The sequence below is a fragment of the Homo sapiens genome, chromosome 9, assembly GCF_000001405.40.
Source record: "Homo sapiens chromosome 9, GRCh38.p14 Primary Assembly".
NCBI lineage: Eukaryota > Metazoa > Chordata > Mammalia > Primates > Hominidae > Homo > Homo sapiens.
The window spans coordinates 18,128,136-18,144,835 of NC_000009.12; the positions used below are offsets into that span (position 1 = coordinate 18,128,136).

Here is a 16,700-nt window from a genome sequence, read left to right on the forward strand (position 1 = left end):
GGCTTCTGGGTATGCAAACTCTCAAATGCATGTGAAATTTTGGGAGAATTCTATTAGACTGTAATTTTCATGGGATCTGGTAATAGATAATCAGAAAATTGCATTTTATTTCCTCTTAAGCTATCAATGGACCACCAGGGTAATGAGATTTGCATTTATAAACACAGCACCAATGATAGTATTTCTGGACATCTTCTTTGTTGATAGAAACAGCTTGAAGTTGCACAATAATTTTTTTTCCCTGGAGACAGGGTCTCACTCCTGCCACCCAGGCTGCAGCGTAGTGGTGCAATCATGGCTCACTGCAGCCTCGACTTCCCAGGCTCAAGTGATTCTCCCACCTCAGTCTACCGAGTAGCTGGGACTACAGGAACCATTTTGCCCAGGCTGGTCTCAAAATCCTGGTCAAAAGCAATCTGCCCGCCTCAGCCTCCCAAAGCGCTGGGATTATAGGTGTGAGCCACAGTGCCTGGCCCGACAGTTTGAACTATTGAGTATGGTACATGAATCCCCGTCTCTAATGAAATAGAGAATCACTAGGATTCTAGAAATTCAGTAATTCAGCTATGAAACAGAAATTAAGGATCTCTCTCTCCCCCCTTTTTTTCAATTCCCATTCCCTCTTCCCCATATTGTTCCAGTAAATAAGTAAGAAAGTAGGTATTTAGGCTAAAGCACCCTTATAAACATAACCCTTATAAACAATAGCAGAAAGAAGGTGGCCATAGAAGGCTTTTGTATATCTTTTTAGAAGAATATCAAGGTATAAAATATTTTCCTTTGAAAAAGAAAGAACCTATATTTTGCATGCATTATAATAAAAACATAGAGGCAATCTATAAAGTCTTCTATAAAACAGACTGTAATACATTAAAATTATGTCTCCCCCACTTTTCCAAACAATTGCAGAAATTTCCCATTTTAATAACACCTTATTTTAGCAATGGTATAATCTGTTTTATATCTATGTCTAGTGAAGAATAAACTCTGGTCAGCCTAGCATAATATTATGATTAAAGGAGACAAAAGGCCTACCTGCTAAATATATCTTTGCCTCTGAACACAATTCTGACTGGTGTTAAACTGAGAAATCCTAAAAGTCTCTTTTGAATGCTAATATGCTTCCTGGGAGTCCATATTATCAGGAGTGAGGTTCGGAATTGCAGGCCAATAGAGCTAGAGGAGAGCTGGTAGACATTTTGCACTATGTTCTTTTTAAAAATAAGAACATTGCAGCCCAGAGGGGAGTAATGGTTCTTTCAAGGTCACATGGTTTGTTGATGCCAAGTTGAAGCTGGATACAACTTTCCTGAAAGAACTCAAGGCCCCTGAGAAGACCTGCTTACCTCACTTTAGTTCTTTCCTAATTATCTTTTCAATATCATCCCTTTTCTGTGGGTTTTTATCTGTTAATTCTGTCAATTCACAGATGCAATGTGGGCCCATAAGCAATAAGACATAAGAAGAGATAGGCTTTGTAAACTTGTATATGTTTATTAAGTTAATCTTATTTAAAATGAAGTAACAAGATATTAAAGTACACCATGAACAGAAAAACAATTTTCCTTCATATTAGAAGAGAATGGATGACGATTAAATTCCTTTTCAACCCTGAGATTCTGTAACGCTGAGAGTCAGAACTGCAAAATGGTCAGAGCATAGGGTTGTATTTGGTGTGTCTTGCACGGCCAACAAGGAAGTAGCCTGAGGTCAAGAAACCTTCCCTTGTTCCCCAGGGAAACAGGGAAGCAGGTAAAGGAAAGGAAAGCTTAACTGAGAAGATGCTTTTAGTAACTGGTCCTTGTCTGCACTTGTTACTCTGAGCTGCCCGCTGCCAGCCTACATCAGTCGCATGCACTGGGAGTCTTGGTGAGGCAGCATGTTCCTGAGCTCAAGTTGCAGGCACTGCCATCCCCACTGCATGGGGCCCTGTCTCAGAGAGAAAAGAATGTGAAGCCCCACTTCCTGTGGAATCTTTGAGCCCCCTGCTAACTTCTTGCCATCACAGTAACCTCAGCTACTTATGCTTCTTGTCTCTCCTTGCTCCACAGGCCTCCCTCTGCCTTCACAGGGGCATTTTCACCTCGCATTAGTCATTGCGGGAAGACAGGAAGCACCATACCTATCAAGCAGCTCCTGCTTTCTGGCCTGGAAGAAACTATTAAGAATCAGGCCATGTTCTTGAAATGGAGAAAAGCATTTCAGGGAGAACAAATGTAAATTAATATTTAATAAGCACTATGACTACATTCTCATTTCCCAGTTTTTATTTCCTTAATCCTTTTAACTGGCTGTCACAATGACATTTCTGATGAAAATTTGACCAATTATTTATGCACATCTGTTATGCCCTTTTGGGTAGAATGGAGCATTCTTTCAGTTGTCCAAGGAGGGTCCAGACTTTCATAGATCTGATTGCATGATTTCCTGTAAGTTCATAATTTATCTTTACAGAGAGAAGCTAGCAGGTTTTTAAAAGACACGGATTATGTCTTTTAGATGGCCAGGAAAATACATTATTCAAGTATTTGGAGCATTTTAGGAATACAAACTACCAAATAAGACATAAAATTCAGCATTCCCACCAGACACATAGGGAACTTTTTTTCTTTTTTTAACAGACTGTTGCCTCCTCCAACTCCCTTAGGATGCCGTGAACAATCACTTTCTCTGCTACAGCCTTAGAACATGAGCAGACACAGCACAAAAACAGGGCAGTCCACCAGTGGTTTGGCAGCTTAAGTATCCATCATCAACTTTTCTGGACTTTCTTGAAAAGTAGTTGCCATTCCTGACTAGTGGTTTTACTCATTTCTATTGGAAACTAAAATCTGGGTGGGCTGGAATCCTCAAGAGCATGTTAAGAAGCCAGATAAATCAATGTCCCCATGGTATAACTAATCCTAAAAGTAGAAAATCCTTAGAAATAGAGTATGGCTCAATCTCTGCCATCCTCGAGAAAGGCCCCATTTGGTTCCAAATCTTGCATTCTTTCTACTGTACCACTCTACCTAAAAACTAAGTCTTGGTGTCATTGGCTATCTTTGGGTCTTACTTATTTTGAGTAAGTTATTTAAGTAAGTTTTGATAAGTTATTTTAACTTTTTGTGCCACATTTTATGGTATAGTAGGTCACTTGGGGATTCTCTGAGAACAAGACCCAAAATTATACCAGTATTTCTATAGGAAATTTGTCTTCAAATAATATTGTTTTAAATAAAGCTGGCATCTCCAAGAACATGACCACAGCATTACTGAAGTCAAGGTTGTATGAGTGCTGCAGGGTCCTGAGGCAGAGGTGCCATCACTGTTTGGGAAGGTTTCTTAGAGATGATTAGTCTCGTATGATGAGGGCATCAGATAATGCAAGGGTTAATAGAAATCAAAGAGGAGTTTCTTTTCCGAGATTTCACTTTGAGCTTCCAAGATTACTCTCTTCTTGACATTTTCTCTCCTAGTCTTCCATAGACTGACAAGGACCTCTCATCTTTTCTTATCCCTCATAAGCTCTTGATTGTGGCTGTTCTATAGAGGATTTGTGACCTCTCTCATCATTTCCCTCTGTAGTCTTTTGCTGGGACTGTGTACCCTTGACAAATCTAGGTGATGACTCCCGAATAAAACAGTGAAATAGAAGGGCCAATGGGTTGGGTTTCAGGAGATCTAGTTCACTCTCTAGGTGACATTGTGTGGGCCACCTTGCTTCCCTAAGGTTTCTTCATCTATTTAAAAAAAATGTGGTGGGCAGGGTGAGATGAACTGATCATAGTGAGGAGGTCACTTCCTTCATAGTTCAGGAAGTTCTTCAGGAAGAAAGTGAAATACTTCAACTCTAGAATCCCATCTTGTAACATCAGTGTTAATTCCTGAATTTATAGAATCACTCTGATTTGTCACCTGAGCTCTGATCTTCATTTCTATCTACTAAGGATCAATAATTTTTCCTTATGTGCCCTACCAGCCCAGAAACACAAAATGTCTACCATAGCAATCATTTTCCCCCACCAAACAAGATGCCCTACTTTACTTCCTGTTTTCCAAAAGTGCTGTCCCCGGGGAAAAAAGGCCTGAGTCCACATGGTTTTCTTTGATCAGTTCTTTTCCTTCATCTCCTACATCCTGTCAGCCACCCCATATGCCATATTTTAATTTTGAAATGCATCGTGTGTATATTTTTTCCCGTCTACCTTTTGCGTGTGTTTGAATCAGTGGCGTTAAGTACATTCACATTGTGTCCAACCATTACTGCTACCCATTTCCAGAACTTTACCATCATCCCAAACTGAAACTCTACCCATTGAACAGTGTCTTCCTAACTACTCTTAATTGTTAAATATCAGAATATCAGCATTTAATGGGCTCTTCAGGGTGATCTGCCACGGGTTAGATTTGACAGGTTAGATAAAGCAACCACAACCTAGATGGGTTCAACTGTGTACTCACCAGCTCTTCATTCTATCACTTCCAGATTGTATCACACTTCTCCAAGTGGGCTTCTTTGCCTCAGGCTTCTCCAACTTCCAGTCTATCATGTATGTTACTTTGAGCTTTATCTTTCCATTGTACCCTTTTTCCCCCCTTTCACTCCATGCTCAGAAACTGGAGTACTGTAAGCTTCTCAGTCACATTTCACCCAAACACACAGTCCAATTTCCTGCCATTTTTGTTGTTTATTGTCTACAATGTCAGTTTAGTGCTCCCCAAGCTCCCATTTAGTTATTTGGATTATAACATGTTTATTTTCCTTTCCTCTGAGATTCATCTTGTTCAAGAATTTGCCAAGGATTACGGAGATAGCGTTCAGACTGTCTCCCTGGAATAAGGAGGTAGGGTTTAGATTCTTTCACAGTACTAAGGAGCTAGTGTTCAGATTCTGTCCCAGGATTAAGGATTGAGGGTTCAGAATCTCTCTCAGGACTGTGGAGCCAGGGTTCAGACACTTCCAGGAATAAGAAGCTAAGGTTCAGACTCTCCTCCGGAATTAAGGGGCTAGGGTTCAGACTTTACTCCAGAATTAAAAAGCTAGGGTTCAGACTCTCAGGATTAAGGAGTCAGGGTTCAGATTATCTCCCAGGATTAGAGTTGGGATCAGACTCTCCTGAGGGCTCCAGTTAGGCTAATAACTCATCTGATGCAGCAGGGTAGTAAGATCGGCAGTGAGGGGTCACCTCAGCCAGTTTTGCTCTGACTCCAGATTGCCAGTCCCAGCTCTAGACAGTGATCCCTCTGTATCTCCTGCCTTAACAATAACGACCAGCATTATTGAGCTGGGTGGGCCAGGGTCTGGGCTAAACATTTTCATAAAGTATTTCATTGAATCTCATATATTATCTCCCTTTAAAAAAATCTGACAACTAAGTATTAAACTAGTGATTTTCAGTCCTGGCTGCACATTTAGAACACGTTAAATCAGTAATTGCTACTGAAACTAACTGATGTTCAGGCTGTATACCACGAGCTTTTGATTCTGTTGGCCTGGAAGTAATGGACCCCATTCAAGGTCTGATAGCCCAGGAACCTGCATTCACACCCAGGTCCCTATGGCTTCAGAACCCAAATTCTGAACCCAGAGTTCTTAGCCCTGTTCATGGATCAGAATCCCCTGTGCTTGTGTGTATGTATATATTTACACACACGGAAATCATTATGGTATTGGGGTAGGTAGGGTAAGAATTACTTAAAATATTTTAAAAAAACTATTTGGTTAACTCTAATGGGCAACTAGAATTGAAAACACAGCCTTAACCATGATACAATATTACATCTCATTAGACCTCATTCAACAAATACATAACTTCTTATCCATTAGTGTAAAATGGGAAGGGTGGTATGTTGGAATGTATTGAGAGAAGATGGAATAACAGTAACATTATTGTACTGTTGAATAGTAAGGAATGAAAATGGGACACATAATTCTTTAAGTTACCTACATTTGTAAGCCATTATTTGAAATAAACTCCCATTAAGCCATATCTGTGCATGCCTAGTTTGGCACAGTGCAATTCTGGTCATTTACTAGGAACTCCACATATGGAAGTATGCACTCATAGTGAAAAGAAATGGGGCTCTAACCTGAAAGGTTTTAGTGTGAAGATGTGTGGATGCTCTGAACTCAAGAACTGACAGGATGTCCGGTGTGCTGCTACTTATTTGAACTTCTGCAGAGGCAAGTTTGTTGTTGGTGCATGCCATTGGTACCACTTGATTATTAATATTATTAAGTTGATGTCTTGGGAGCATAGCCATTATCTAATTTTGGCTTCAGATTCAATTCTGGTTATTGACAAATGGTGGAATGGGAGTAGAGACTGACTTAGCTACAAGAAAGAAGCCCTAAGAGTATAACGTCCCTAAGGATTCTGTAAAAAGTGCAGTTATATAATTTGTTGAGATGAGTTAAGTGGTAATCATCCTGATGTTTGACATTTACAAATTCTTCCCATAGTACTAGACATTTAACTGAAGCACACATTTGACACTGAAGAAGTACTGTTCTATGTAATGTACTCAAAACTTGCCAGTGGGTGTGGTGGTTCTTTCTTTAAAGTAAACAGCCTTAGATTTACTAAAGTCATTATCGAATATAGGGAGATGAATTCACTGGAGAAGTGAAACCCAAGCATCTGAAATGATATTTTGATCTTTAAAGTAGGAAACAGAATGGCAGGGTTTGTTGTGGAGACAGACTCTTCCTTTAGCACAGACAATAAGGACATCAGCCAATTCTGAAGACTTGTTGGGGACTGCCAGGAAGGCTAACCATGCCACCATCACAACTTCAATAACTGTAAGGGAGTCAGTGTCATTAGAAAATTGCACTGATATTTCATCTGGGTAATTACACTGGTCTCTTCACTTAGAAAAACACGGGATCAGACAAGGGAATCAATACTGCCATTGCCTTTTCTTTTCTCATTGTTGATAATACCTGGTTTTCACCTGGGGCACAATCTATCTCTGTTTCTTATCTGACTGAGATATTTCAGTATTTGTAATTATAAACATCTGACTTAGAACTGGCCTGCATGTATAACTCCATATGTGGAATCTGCTCTAGTTAAGTAAAAAACATAAAACGCTGCAGTTAGGAAATAGTCACAATTGAATTCTTTTAACTGAGGGCTCCATACGTACTATGCATTCATATCAAGTTTTCAAGGATAAACTTAAACACAAAAACAGTGTTCATTAATAAGATTAATGAACTATGAGGAAAGCAACTCTTTGGGAATATAAGTCCAGAGGCTCAAAATGTAAAATGCTTAAAAAAATATATTTTCTGTGAATTGTATTGCTGAAAGGAAGGAGGGCATATTTTACTAGCCACAAGGTGGACAGTTACCACATCCAGTTGTTTAACACATCAGAAATGTAGGACTGCCAGGCATAGTGGTGCATGCCTGTAGTCCCAGATACTCAGGAGGCTGAGATGGGAGAACTGCTGAGCCCAGGAGTTTGAGGCCAGCCTAGGCAATGTAGCAAACCCTGCTTTAAAAAAAATACAGAGTTTTCTTTTATATATTAATATATAGGCATGTGTGTATACCATATGCATGTATATCACATGTATATCTATCATATGTGTATGTATCCTATATGTATACCTTGTATATACACATATACACACACCACCTAAGATGCCTCTGAGGATTGCTCTGTGGATATGAGGTGCTGTCTTCCTGAGGAGAAGCCAATTTCTCCATCACAGCTTACACTGATGCAGTGCCTTCCATGCAACAGGTACTATACCAAAGGCTTTATATGGCATACCCCTCACTCAATCCTCACAAACAGTCCTCTGAGAAATATAGACTTTCTCTCATTTAAGATGAGGAATCCAAGGCACAGATTAGTTCATTTATTTGCTCAGGATCATGTAACTCTGATGTACACAGCCAGGATTCAAACCCTCTTACTCTGTAACCCATGCCTCGCACTGCCTCCCTCAGTCACATAATACTGATGTGGAAAAAGGCAGTAAGAGCATTTACAAGGCTCCGTAAGTGAAGTAAGTTGCATAGTGGTTCCCAAACCTGGCTGCACATCAGAATCATTTGGGAAGCTTATTAAAAAATAAATATTTCCAAAGAATACCTTTAGAGAGTCTAATTAAGAACGTCAGAGGTGTGCATTGGGATTCATTTTCATAATTGCTCCCAGATGATTTCAATGCAGGCAATCAGCTGCCACTTGGAAACCACTGGATTAGACAGTAAATGTAAGCAAATTGCATTTAAGCAAGAGTGGCCTATATTCTCTAAAATCCCTGTAGTCATGGTATGTAGGTGTTAGGGCTATAATATTAACACGAAAAACAGTCCCTGACGTTGTAGGATGTTAGGAGAGATAACTGTGTAAACAGGTACAGAATGCAAGGGTGAAGTGCTTTAGTAGAGTAGGAAAGAGAATCACACCGCTATGGCACAGGAGAGAAAAGGGCTAGCTCTGTTTGTGGAAGTCAACTTGGGCTTCACAGAGAGGATAAGATTTATGTGGAACATTAAATTGTGTCTACAAACAAAAAAGAGAAGGAATGGCATTCCAAACAGAAAAGGCTGTGAGATCAAAAGCTGTGAAGTAGGAAAATAGACAGATATTTGGGCAGCAGCTGGGGTTGCAGTGTGGTTAGCCTTGTGTACTGTGGCAAGGAGTAAGACCTTATTGCTGGTAACCAGCAACCATTGGCATATTTAAGCAAGGCAGTACAGGACAAAGGCTGCCTTTTAAAACAGTCACAGAGGCTAATGTGTGAGGATGACTTAAAGAAGGCAAAATTGTAAGGAGGGTCAACAATGGGGAGGCCAAGCCATAGTTAAGGTGAAACAGGACAAGGCCTGAACTCTGAGGCAGGGTGTCTGAGTATCATGGGAAGGGAAGGGAAAGAGTTGAAGCAAGACATTTGAGAGATTATCAGCAGAAAATGATGACAGATCAGATGAGGGTGGACAGTTGTGAAAGATGAGGGCATACAGTCAGGGATGAAATCGGAATTTCTGGACTGGTCCATGCAATGATAGTAGCCCAGGTTTCTGAGGGAAAATCTGTTGTTGCTGGAGATTCTCAGTCTAGTCTTAGATTTTCTTTCTATTTATTGGCAGATTTTCTTTCATTTTAAATAGAAAATAAATTAACATAAGTTTGAAAACAGATGAAAATATAAATGACTTTATTTTTGAAAGAATTATAATACATATCATAGAAAGAAGTGTTTCTTTATCGTTGTATTCAGGCTAAACTGGGACTGGCTGAAGCCTTGAGCCTTCAATATTCATCTTTGGAAAACACATGGGGGTCTTCCAATCATTTAAAAAAATTCTAACAGACTAACATTGCAAGTCCAGGCTCCATTAGTCTCAGTGGTTAAACTTAAATCTCTTAACATGTAAGTCCTTCTGTAGTTGCTGTCCAGTAATAAAGTGGGTGATGGAATTTTTAAGAAAACACTTTATGGCTCTGCAATAGACGAATTTTTCCACTGGGATTTATATAACGACTTCGGAGAAAACTAAAACAATGTATAAAATAAAACCCTGTGGAAGAAAAAATAATTATAAAGAATTCCCACCTGAAATGATGGAATGCCTACAGTTGTAGAATTCTGTATTTTGTTTCACTATCTGTTTAATAATTAAAGGCCCTTTTAGTAGCCAAAAGTTCCACTTTAAAACACTGTATTCTAGGGTGCTAAGAATTTGGTGCAGAGCAGTAACTTTTTCCAAGTGTGGCAAGAGAAACATTCAAAAGAGAGGCATCTTTGACCTAAGACTCACTCAAGTAAATCTTGCTAGGGAGAGTTATTCTTATTGTTAGGTGAAGGATCTCAAGCTAGGGACCACCTAGTGGACAGCCGGACCAACTCTCCAGAAGCCCTGAGATGCATAACCTTTGGCACTGTGTTTTGAAATACTGTAGAGCAGGGTTTGATTCCCTGCTATGCCACTTGCTGGCCGCATGTTCTTCAGCAAGTAACTTAAACCTCCTGAGACTCGTTTCCTCCTCTGTAAGGGAGGGGTGATGGAACTCACCTCATGGGAGTATGGCGAAAAGTAAGTATTAAATGAGGCAATATGTGTTCAAATTGCTCTGTAAATGGAAAGGAATATGTATTATAATTATTATACTTTTAGAATTTTCTTAAAACCAAACTGTGTTTCAGGTTTTAAACCAGATATACATACATATCTTGCATGTGTTTTTTCTAGATAGATATCTCCCCAATTATCTCTTTTATACCCATGTATCCAGCAGCTAAGGATTTTAAGGCAGAGTATGCTACTTTTAGGGAGTAACGAACTTGAGGAGGCTGTAGGTTTGCAAACCTGCAAATTTGCTGAATTTTTGAAAATTCATTTGCATTTGAATTTATACTCCAGCTTCATAGTACACAAAGCAGCTGGTGTGCGGCCATGGCTACTAGTGCTGGGCATTGTTTCTTCTGTGATGTTCCTCCTGTGGAACACTGACTTTGAAAACACGTTTTCGTAGTGTGACTGTTCTAAATTTACCTTGATGATAAAGGAAACACTATAGAGACACAGTAAGCGAGTTCTAGGAGTCCCAGAGATCAAAAGGAAAAAAAGGAGGGTGAGGTTATGCTTTCTGCAGCATCCTCACGAACTCCTGCTGGAGCACCAGCATTCCAGTGAGATTATTTAGCTTCAAGTAGATCTTGTCTCGGGTGGTTGAAATGTCAAGACCAAGATCTAACGCTCTGCCTCAAGTGGATTGCACCATAGCCATAAGCCTCTTGCATGCCCTCATGAGTTTAAAGAGTGCATAGTTGACTGTGTGTATGAGTGTGAATATGTGTGTGTATGAGGAAGACTGATAATCTGGAGACGTGGATTTTACTTGTGTCTGCCACTAAGGAACCTTGCAGGAGATTACCTCACCTGTTTTAATTTCATTTCTCTTGCCTAGATGATAAAGGGTAGAATGAGATGCTCTCTTAAGATGTCTTCCTGTAACATCTTATGGTTTTTTGACTGATTGACTGATTGATTCAGCAAACCTTGAACCTTATGGAATTGTGATTCTAAATGCAGTGTTGAAATGGCAATCTTTCGTCAATGTAGTTTCTGTGTTCTGTATTCATGAGGCATATGTTGTTCCCTAAGTCAGTGTTAGATTTCCTCCTTTCACTCCCAAGGCAGAGGAGGGCACATGGCAGCATATTTACCTGATTCTACAAGGTCTCCTACACCTTGAAGTAGAACCGATGACATTACTTGTCAGCAGATTTAACAGCAACAAGAGTGTCTTCATTTGTGATGAATGAAAGCTTCCCAAAGTGGGTGAGAGAGAACAGAGTCAAAGGAAGGGGTGCCAACTTCCTTCTTTTGCATTCCACCTTCTGTTAACCATCCTATTCTGATAACCCCTGAGAAAATCCACAGAAGAGTTTTAATACCTCTAGATGGGAATCCTTCCAAGGAAGTGAGTTCCATCCAACTTTTAGGTATCCAAGAAATCATGAATTAATAGCTACTGAATATATGCCATGCTACATATACAAAATAACCCATATAGCTATCCTATGTGACTGCTATGTAGGTTATATTTTAACCTTATAAACTGCAGAAGTAAGACAAGATATAGACATGAGATCACAATTTTTTTCCCACTCATATTGGTCCACTTAAGCTTGAATTTTGAATTTTACATTAGAAAATTTCAAATATATATCTTGTGGTTCATCCCCTAAATTAAAATATGATTCCTCTTTGTTGGTTTCTTATGATTTCAGCCAGTCACCAAAGCTCATATCCTCCTCTGTCTCCAGAGACTGATGAAATTTTTAGGTTCTGGAAATTTAGAGGATGCTAATGATCTCGTATTCAAATAAGTCAAATAAAAATTTGCAATGTATTGAGCCAGGCATTGTAATTGAGAGAAATACCTAAGTGGCATGTATTCATTTATGTACCAACTATTTGCTAGGTGTATTCTGTGTGTAAATCACTGCACTGGGGATGCAAAGCTAAGCAAACCCTAGCCTACTCTTAAAGAATTTAACCCATAATAGGGAAGTTAGACTTGACAAAAATTACCTAAATACAAAGTAAAAGAAGCCATTGAAGTGGGAAAACGTTTCTAAGATGTTAGAAAAGGCTCTTTTTCTTTATCCTCTTTGCTGATGGCCCCCAAGACCACCCTCAGTTTCAGTGATTTGCCGAGACTCAGGACTCAGCATGTAGTCATACTCATGGCTATGATACAAAGTAAGATCAGCAAAGGGAAAAGGTGTATGGGGCAAAGTCCAGCAGAGACCAGGAGCAAGCATCCAAGAGTCCTGTCTCCCAATGGAGTCAGTACTGAATGAGCTGACTTTCTCCAGCAACAAGTTGGACACACATGTGTGAAATGTTGCCTACCAGGGAAGTCTATCAGAGACTCAACACTAGAAGATTTTTACTGGGGGCTAGTCATATAGGTGTCCTCTCCCTAGCACATACCAAAATTCTAGACTCCCAGAAGGAAAGGAGGTGTTCCATATAAATCACATTGTTTGTGCAACAACTGAGGCAGTGAGCCATTCATCATCAGTTCTGAGAATGGTGGGAGCATGCCTGAAATCCAACTTTCCAGAAGCCAACCAAGGACCAACCTAGTGAGCAGGCCTTTCAAAGGATAGCAGTCTCTGGCCTGGTATGTTAACTGTTTTCTGCACACCATCAAAAAATTATCATGGAAAGCAGTAATGGAAATAAAGATCCCAGAATAGTTAATGTGACAGAGCTGTCCAAAATTAGGCTACTTGGAAAACAATGAGAGGGAGGCAAAATTTCATGTAGCCATTTCATTCATCCTTTCATTTTTGTGGCCACCAAGTATTTGGTGAGCTCTGAAAAGAGAGTGAGCACCAGAATGGTTTCTTATTTATATGAATGTATCATGTGACCCAACACCCTGGAATCAGAATGATAGTTTACTTGGAAATTCTCACATTTTTATTGAGTGACTGATGCCAAGCCCTGGGCTCGAAGCTAGTAGTGTGAAGAGGTCAGAGCAGATTCCTGCCCTCACAGGGCTCACAGGTGGACACGGTTTACCTTCTCAACCAACCCCCACCCCATGCTCAATAGTGCTGAGCTCAGTGAGAAGGGGAGGAGAGTGGAAGAGCAGTTGAAGGAGGTTTGGGTTCCTCATCATGGACAGAAGAACATGTTAAGGCAGCAGTGCCTTAACAGCCCAGGGAACTATAGGCTGGGAAAGAGGCTCTAAGAAAACAGCTCTGGACACCAGCAACATGCTGTGCTGTCCCCAGAACACCAGGCCAGCTTTTCTAGAACACAGAGTCACAGGGCCTCGATTCAAGATTCTGAGGTTAAAGCAGTTGAAACAAACACAAGGCTCATAGTTGGAGAAATGAGAGCCCCCTCACTCCAGTTCAAGTAACCAGCTAGAGGCAGCACAGAGGTGTCTAGCACCCTACCTGCACAGCCTGGTGGTGGCCAGCACTTCTTCCAAGTAGCCTTCCATCACAAGGTTGGTGGCCTGCTCTTTGTGGCAGCCCCTCTCTCACTGGACTACAGAAGTACTTCTTGACCATTCGATTATTGGGATTAATGGTATATTCCTCACAGCATCTCCTGTGAGCATCTGACAGCATCTCCTGCACATCACATACTCCTGTAGATCTTGTCACTGACTCTTTCACCAACAGGCGTTACTGAGAAAGGAGGTACTGTGGTATTTCAAACTCAGGAAATTGACCAGATTCTACCTCCTCACAAACCACTGTGCAGCTGTGGTCAAGTGACTTCACTTTTCTAAGTCTACATCTTCTCACTGAGACACAAGGATAGCAGTACTTCCCAGGGCTGTGGCCAGGTTCAGTGAAACTTTACATCTGTATCACCTGGGATGGCCCAATATGTAGTAGGCAAACTCAGTAAGTGAGAGTTCTTGTCCTTTTTCCCTGCAGGAGCTTGCCTTGGATGTTAGAGAACACTGAGGAATGTTCCAATAGCTTTAGAAACAAGAGCTCTAGCAGTCCCCTGACCTCTTCCCCTTCTTTTTCTCCTGCCTGCGGTATCTTCTACCATCAAGTTACAGAATGAGTCTGGAGAGAACAGCTGCTTCTGTTGTTCCATGCTCCACACACAGAGCTCACCAAATACATTAGAATATCTGAGGTCAAGCAGCACCCATATTCCTTTCCCTCACTTGCTATTTCTTCAAGGTTCTTGCTGTCTTTGTCTGTGCTAACAAAGGACAAAGAAAAAGTCAGTGGAATAGGGAACAATGAAATTAAGACCGGCTCTTCTTTTCATAATATGCGTTCTTTAAAACCTTAGAAATCTCTTTTGCATCTAACTCCTGTTCTCCCTCCTTTGATCTCCATGGAGGGCACCCCCTCACCTAATTCTGTCCCTCAGGTTTTACAGTGGGGACTTGGAAAAGTATTTGGAGACTTGGAACAACTTATGAAGCAGGTGCAGCTGAGAAAACTGAGGCAGAGATAAATATATCTCTTGCCACAGTTCCACATCTAGCAAGAGGCAGATTTTTAACACGGAAGTCAGAGAATCTATGCATTTATCTATCACAGTATGCTGGCTCTCTAAAAAGGAGAGTGGCCTTTGACAAGAGATGACAACAGGGTTGCATCACAAAGCTATTGTCTTAACAAGTGACCCAGGCCATATGTATGTGCCATAGTGCCAAAGAGTGGTAAAATCTTCCGAACTTTAGAATGAGGCAGGGATAGAGTTCAAATCCTGGTTTAGCTAGTTTCTACCCTAAACTTTCTGAGAATTTGTTTTCTAGTCTATCACACCGGGGGGTAATGCTTACTTTTGGTATGGTTTTGAAGATGAACTAGTGTACATGAAACACTAGTCTGGGTTTTGGAATCCAGTAGGGACTCAGTAAATACTGGGTGCAATGAGGATGATGCAGGTCTGTCGATGGCAGTTTCACTCCAATGCTAACAGGGCAGCATTGAGCCTGGACAAAGTGGAATTTGTTGGAGTTAAACAAGCTTGTAATCAGAAGGCTTAACCACCTTCTACTCTCTGCTGCCATCTAGGAAAGTGGAGCTGGAGCCAGAGGACACACTCATTTTAAGACTCTGGATTGGCATGTTCCCCTTAAGGGGTATGCTCTGAGGAACCCCATGGAGCCTCTGGACCAAGTTCCCTTCTCCTTCATTTAGCAATTACACATGGGCTCTGGTCAATTGGTTCTAATTGAAGGATTTTAAAAAGTGGGTTTGCAGCTTCTCTCCATCCCAAGTACATCTTCCTTTCCCACAGTCAGTAACTTCCACTTCACTCTATTTTTTATGGCAGTTGGGGGTAAGGGCTGTGGAGCAGGACAATGTTGCTTAGCAGCGAATATCAGAGCTGCCGTGTGCTTTTGTGTTTTTTTTAAAGCCGGGTTTTTTGTCACTCTGTCTGATGGAATCATATTGGCATCCTCCCTTGTCAGAACCCCATGGGTCAAGTGTAGGCGTGTGCATGCTTTATAGATGGGTCCCCATTCCTGCCTGGTGCCTGCTCAAGATGATGGTTGCTGCTGGTTTTGTTTAACAGACACTTCATTCTGCAAATTCTCAAGTGCAAATCACCTTTTGTTTCTTTTATCCCTGGCAATAATGAAGGGCTGAACTGGAGCTTAAATAATTCTTTCAATGAATACATTAAACAGACTCTTTCATTATAGATGTTAGAGGAATGAAAATAATTTGCACAAAGCCACATTTCCTTCACAGAGTTTTAAAAGAAGTGAGGGAACTGCCATTGAGGGAACAATTAATTTTGTTTCTGTAGGAAAATGGGGAGGGGGCAGATAAAATATGTTTTAAGACTTTCCAAAAGATTTCTGGTGGGAACGTTTAACAACTGAGTAAAACGTTGCCTCAGGAAAGATAGTGCTATTTGGAGCTGTGTTTTTGTGGCAGTTTCTTACTATCTTCAGAACACATGAAGAATGGAACTCTCTCCTGATTTTGAGAGTTAAAACTTACTACAAGGACAAGTAATTTTGAAAGTGATGTTTCTATTAAGGCTATGGGATACACTTTGCATGTCCTAATAGTATATACATCTTTTTCTTTCTTTCTTTCTTTCTTTCTTTCTTTTTTTGAGACCGAGTGTCCCTCTTGCTCAGGCTGGAGTGCAGTGGCGCGATCTTGGCTTACTGCAACCTCTGCCTCCTGGTTCAAGCGATTACTCTGCCTCAGCTTCCTGGGTAGCTGGGATTACAGATGCCCACCATCAAACCTGGCTAATTTTTGTATTTTTAGTAGAGACAGGGTTTCACCTTGTTGGCCAGGCTGGTCTCGAGCTCCTGACCTCAGGTGATCCTCCCTCCTCGCCCTTCCAAAGTGCTGGGATTACAGGCACGAGCCACCACACCTGGCCCTAATAGTGTATATCTCTTTATGGCTAAACTTACACATATGTAAAATTGGCTATTTAAATTTTCCTCCTATTTCAGTGCCCCTTACATTCTTCCTACCATTTTCCTATTCCCCAGGTCTTCCCCATTATTTACTTTCTATTTTGGTTGGATTAAAACGAATTTTTGCAAAGATACTAGCTTTTTAGAAGCAGAGAATTTTAAAACTTTATGTTAAATGAGATAATTAAGACTTGTAGGAATGACAGAGTGGCCCAAAGTCACCCAGCTCAGAGGGGTCCATGTACTCCAGTAGCTTTCATTCAGGTGAGTACTCCTGCCAAGATACCTGG

The 16,700-nt window shown here is 40.7% G+C and overlaps 1 protein-coding gene across 10 annotated transcripts in view; it reads left to right on the forward strand.

Moving 5' to 3' along the window:
• Positions 1 to 16,700, forward strand: part of ADAMTSL1 (ADAMTS like 1) — a 1,004,318-nt gene that overhangs the window by 221,503 nt on the left and 766,115 nt on the right. The gene's annotated exons all lie outside the window — the stretch shown is intronic.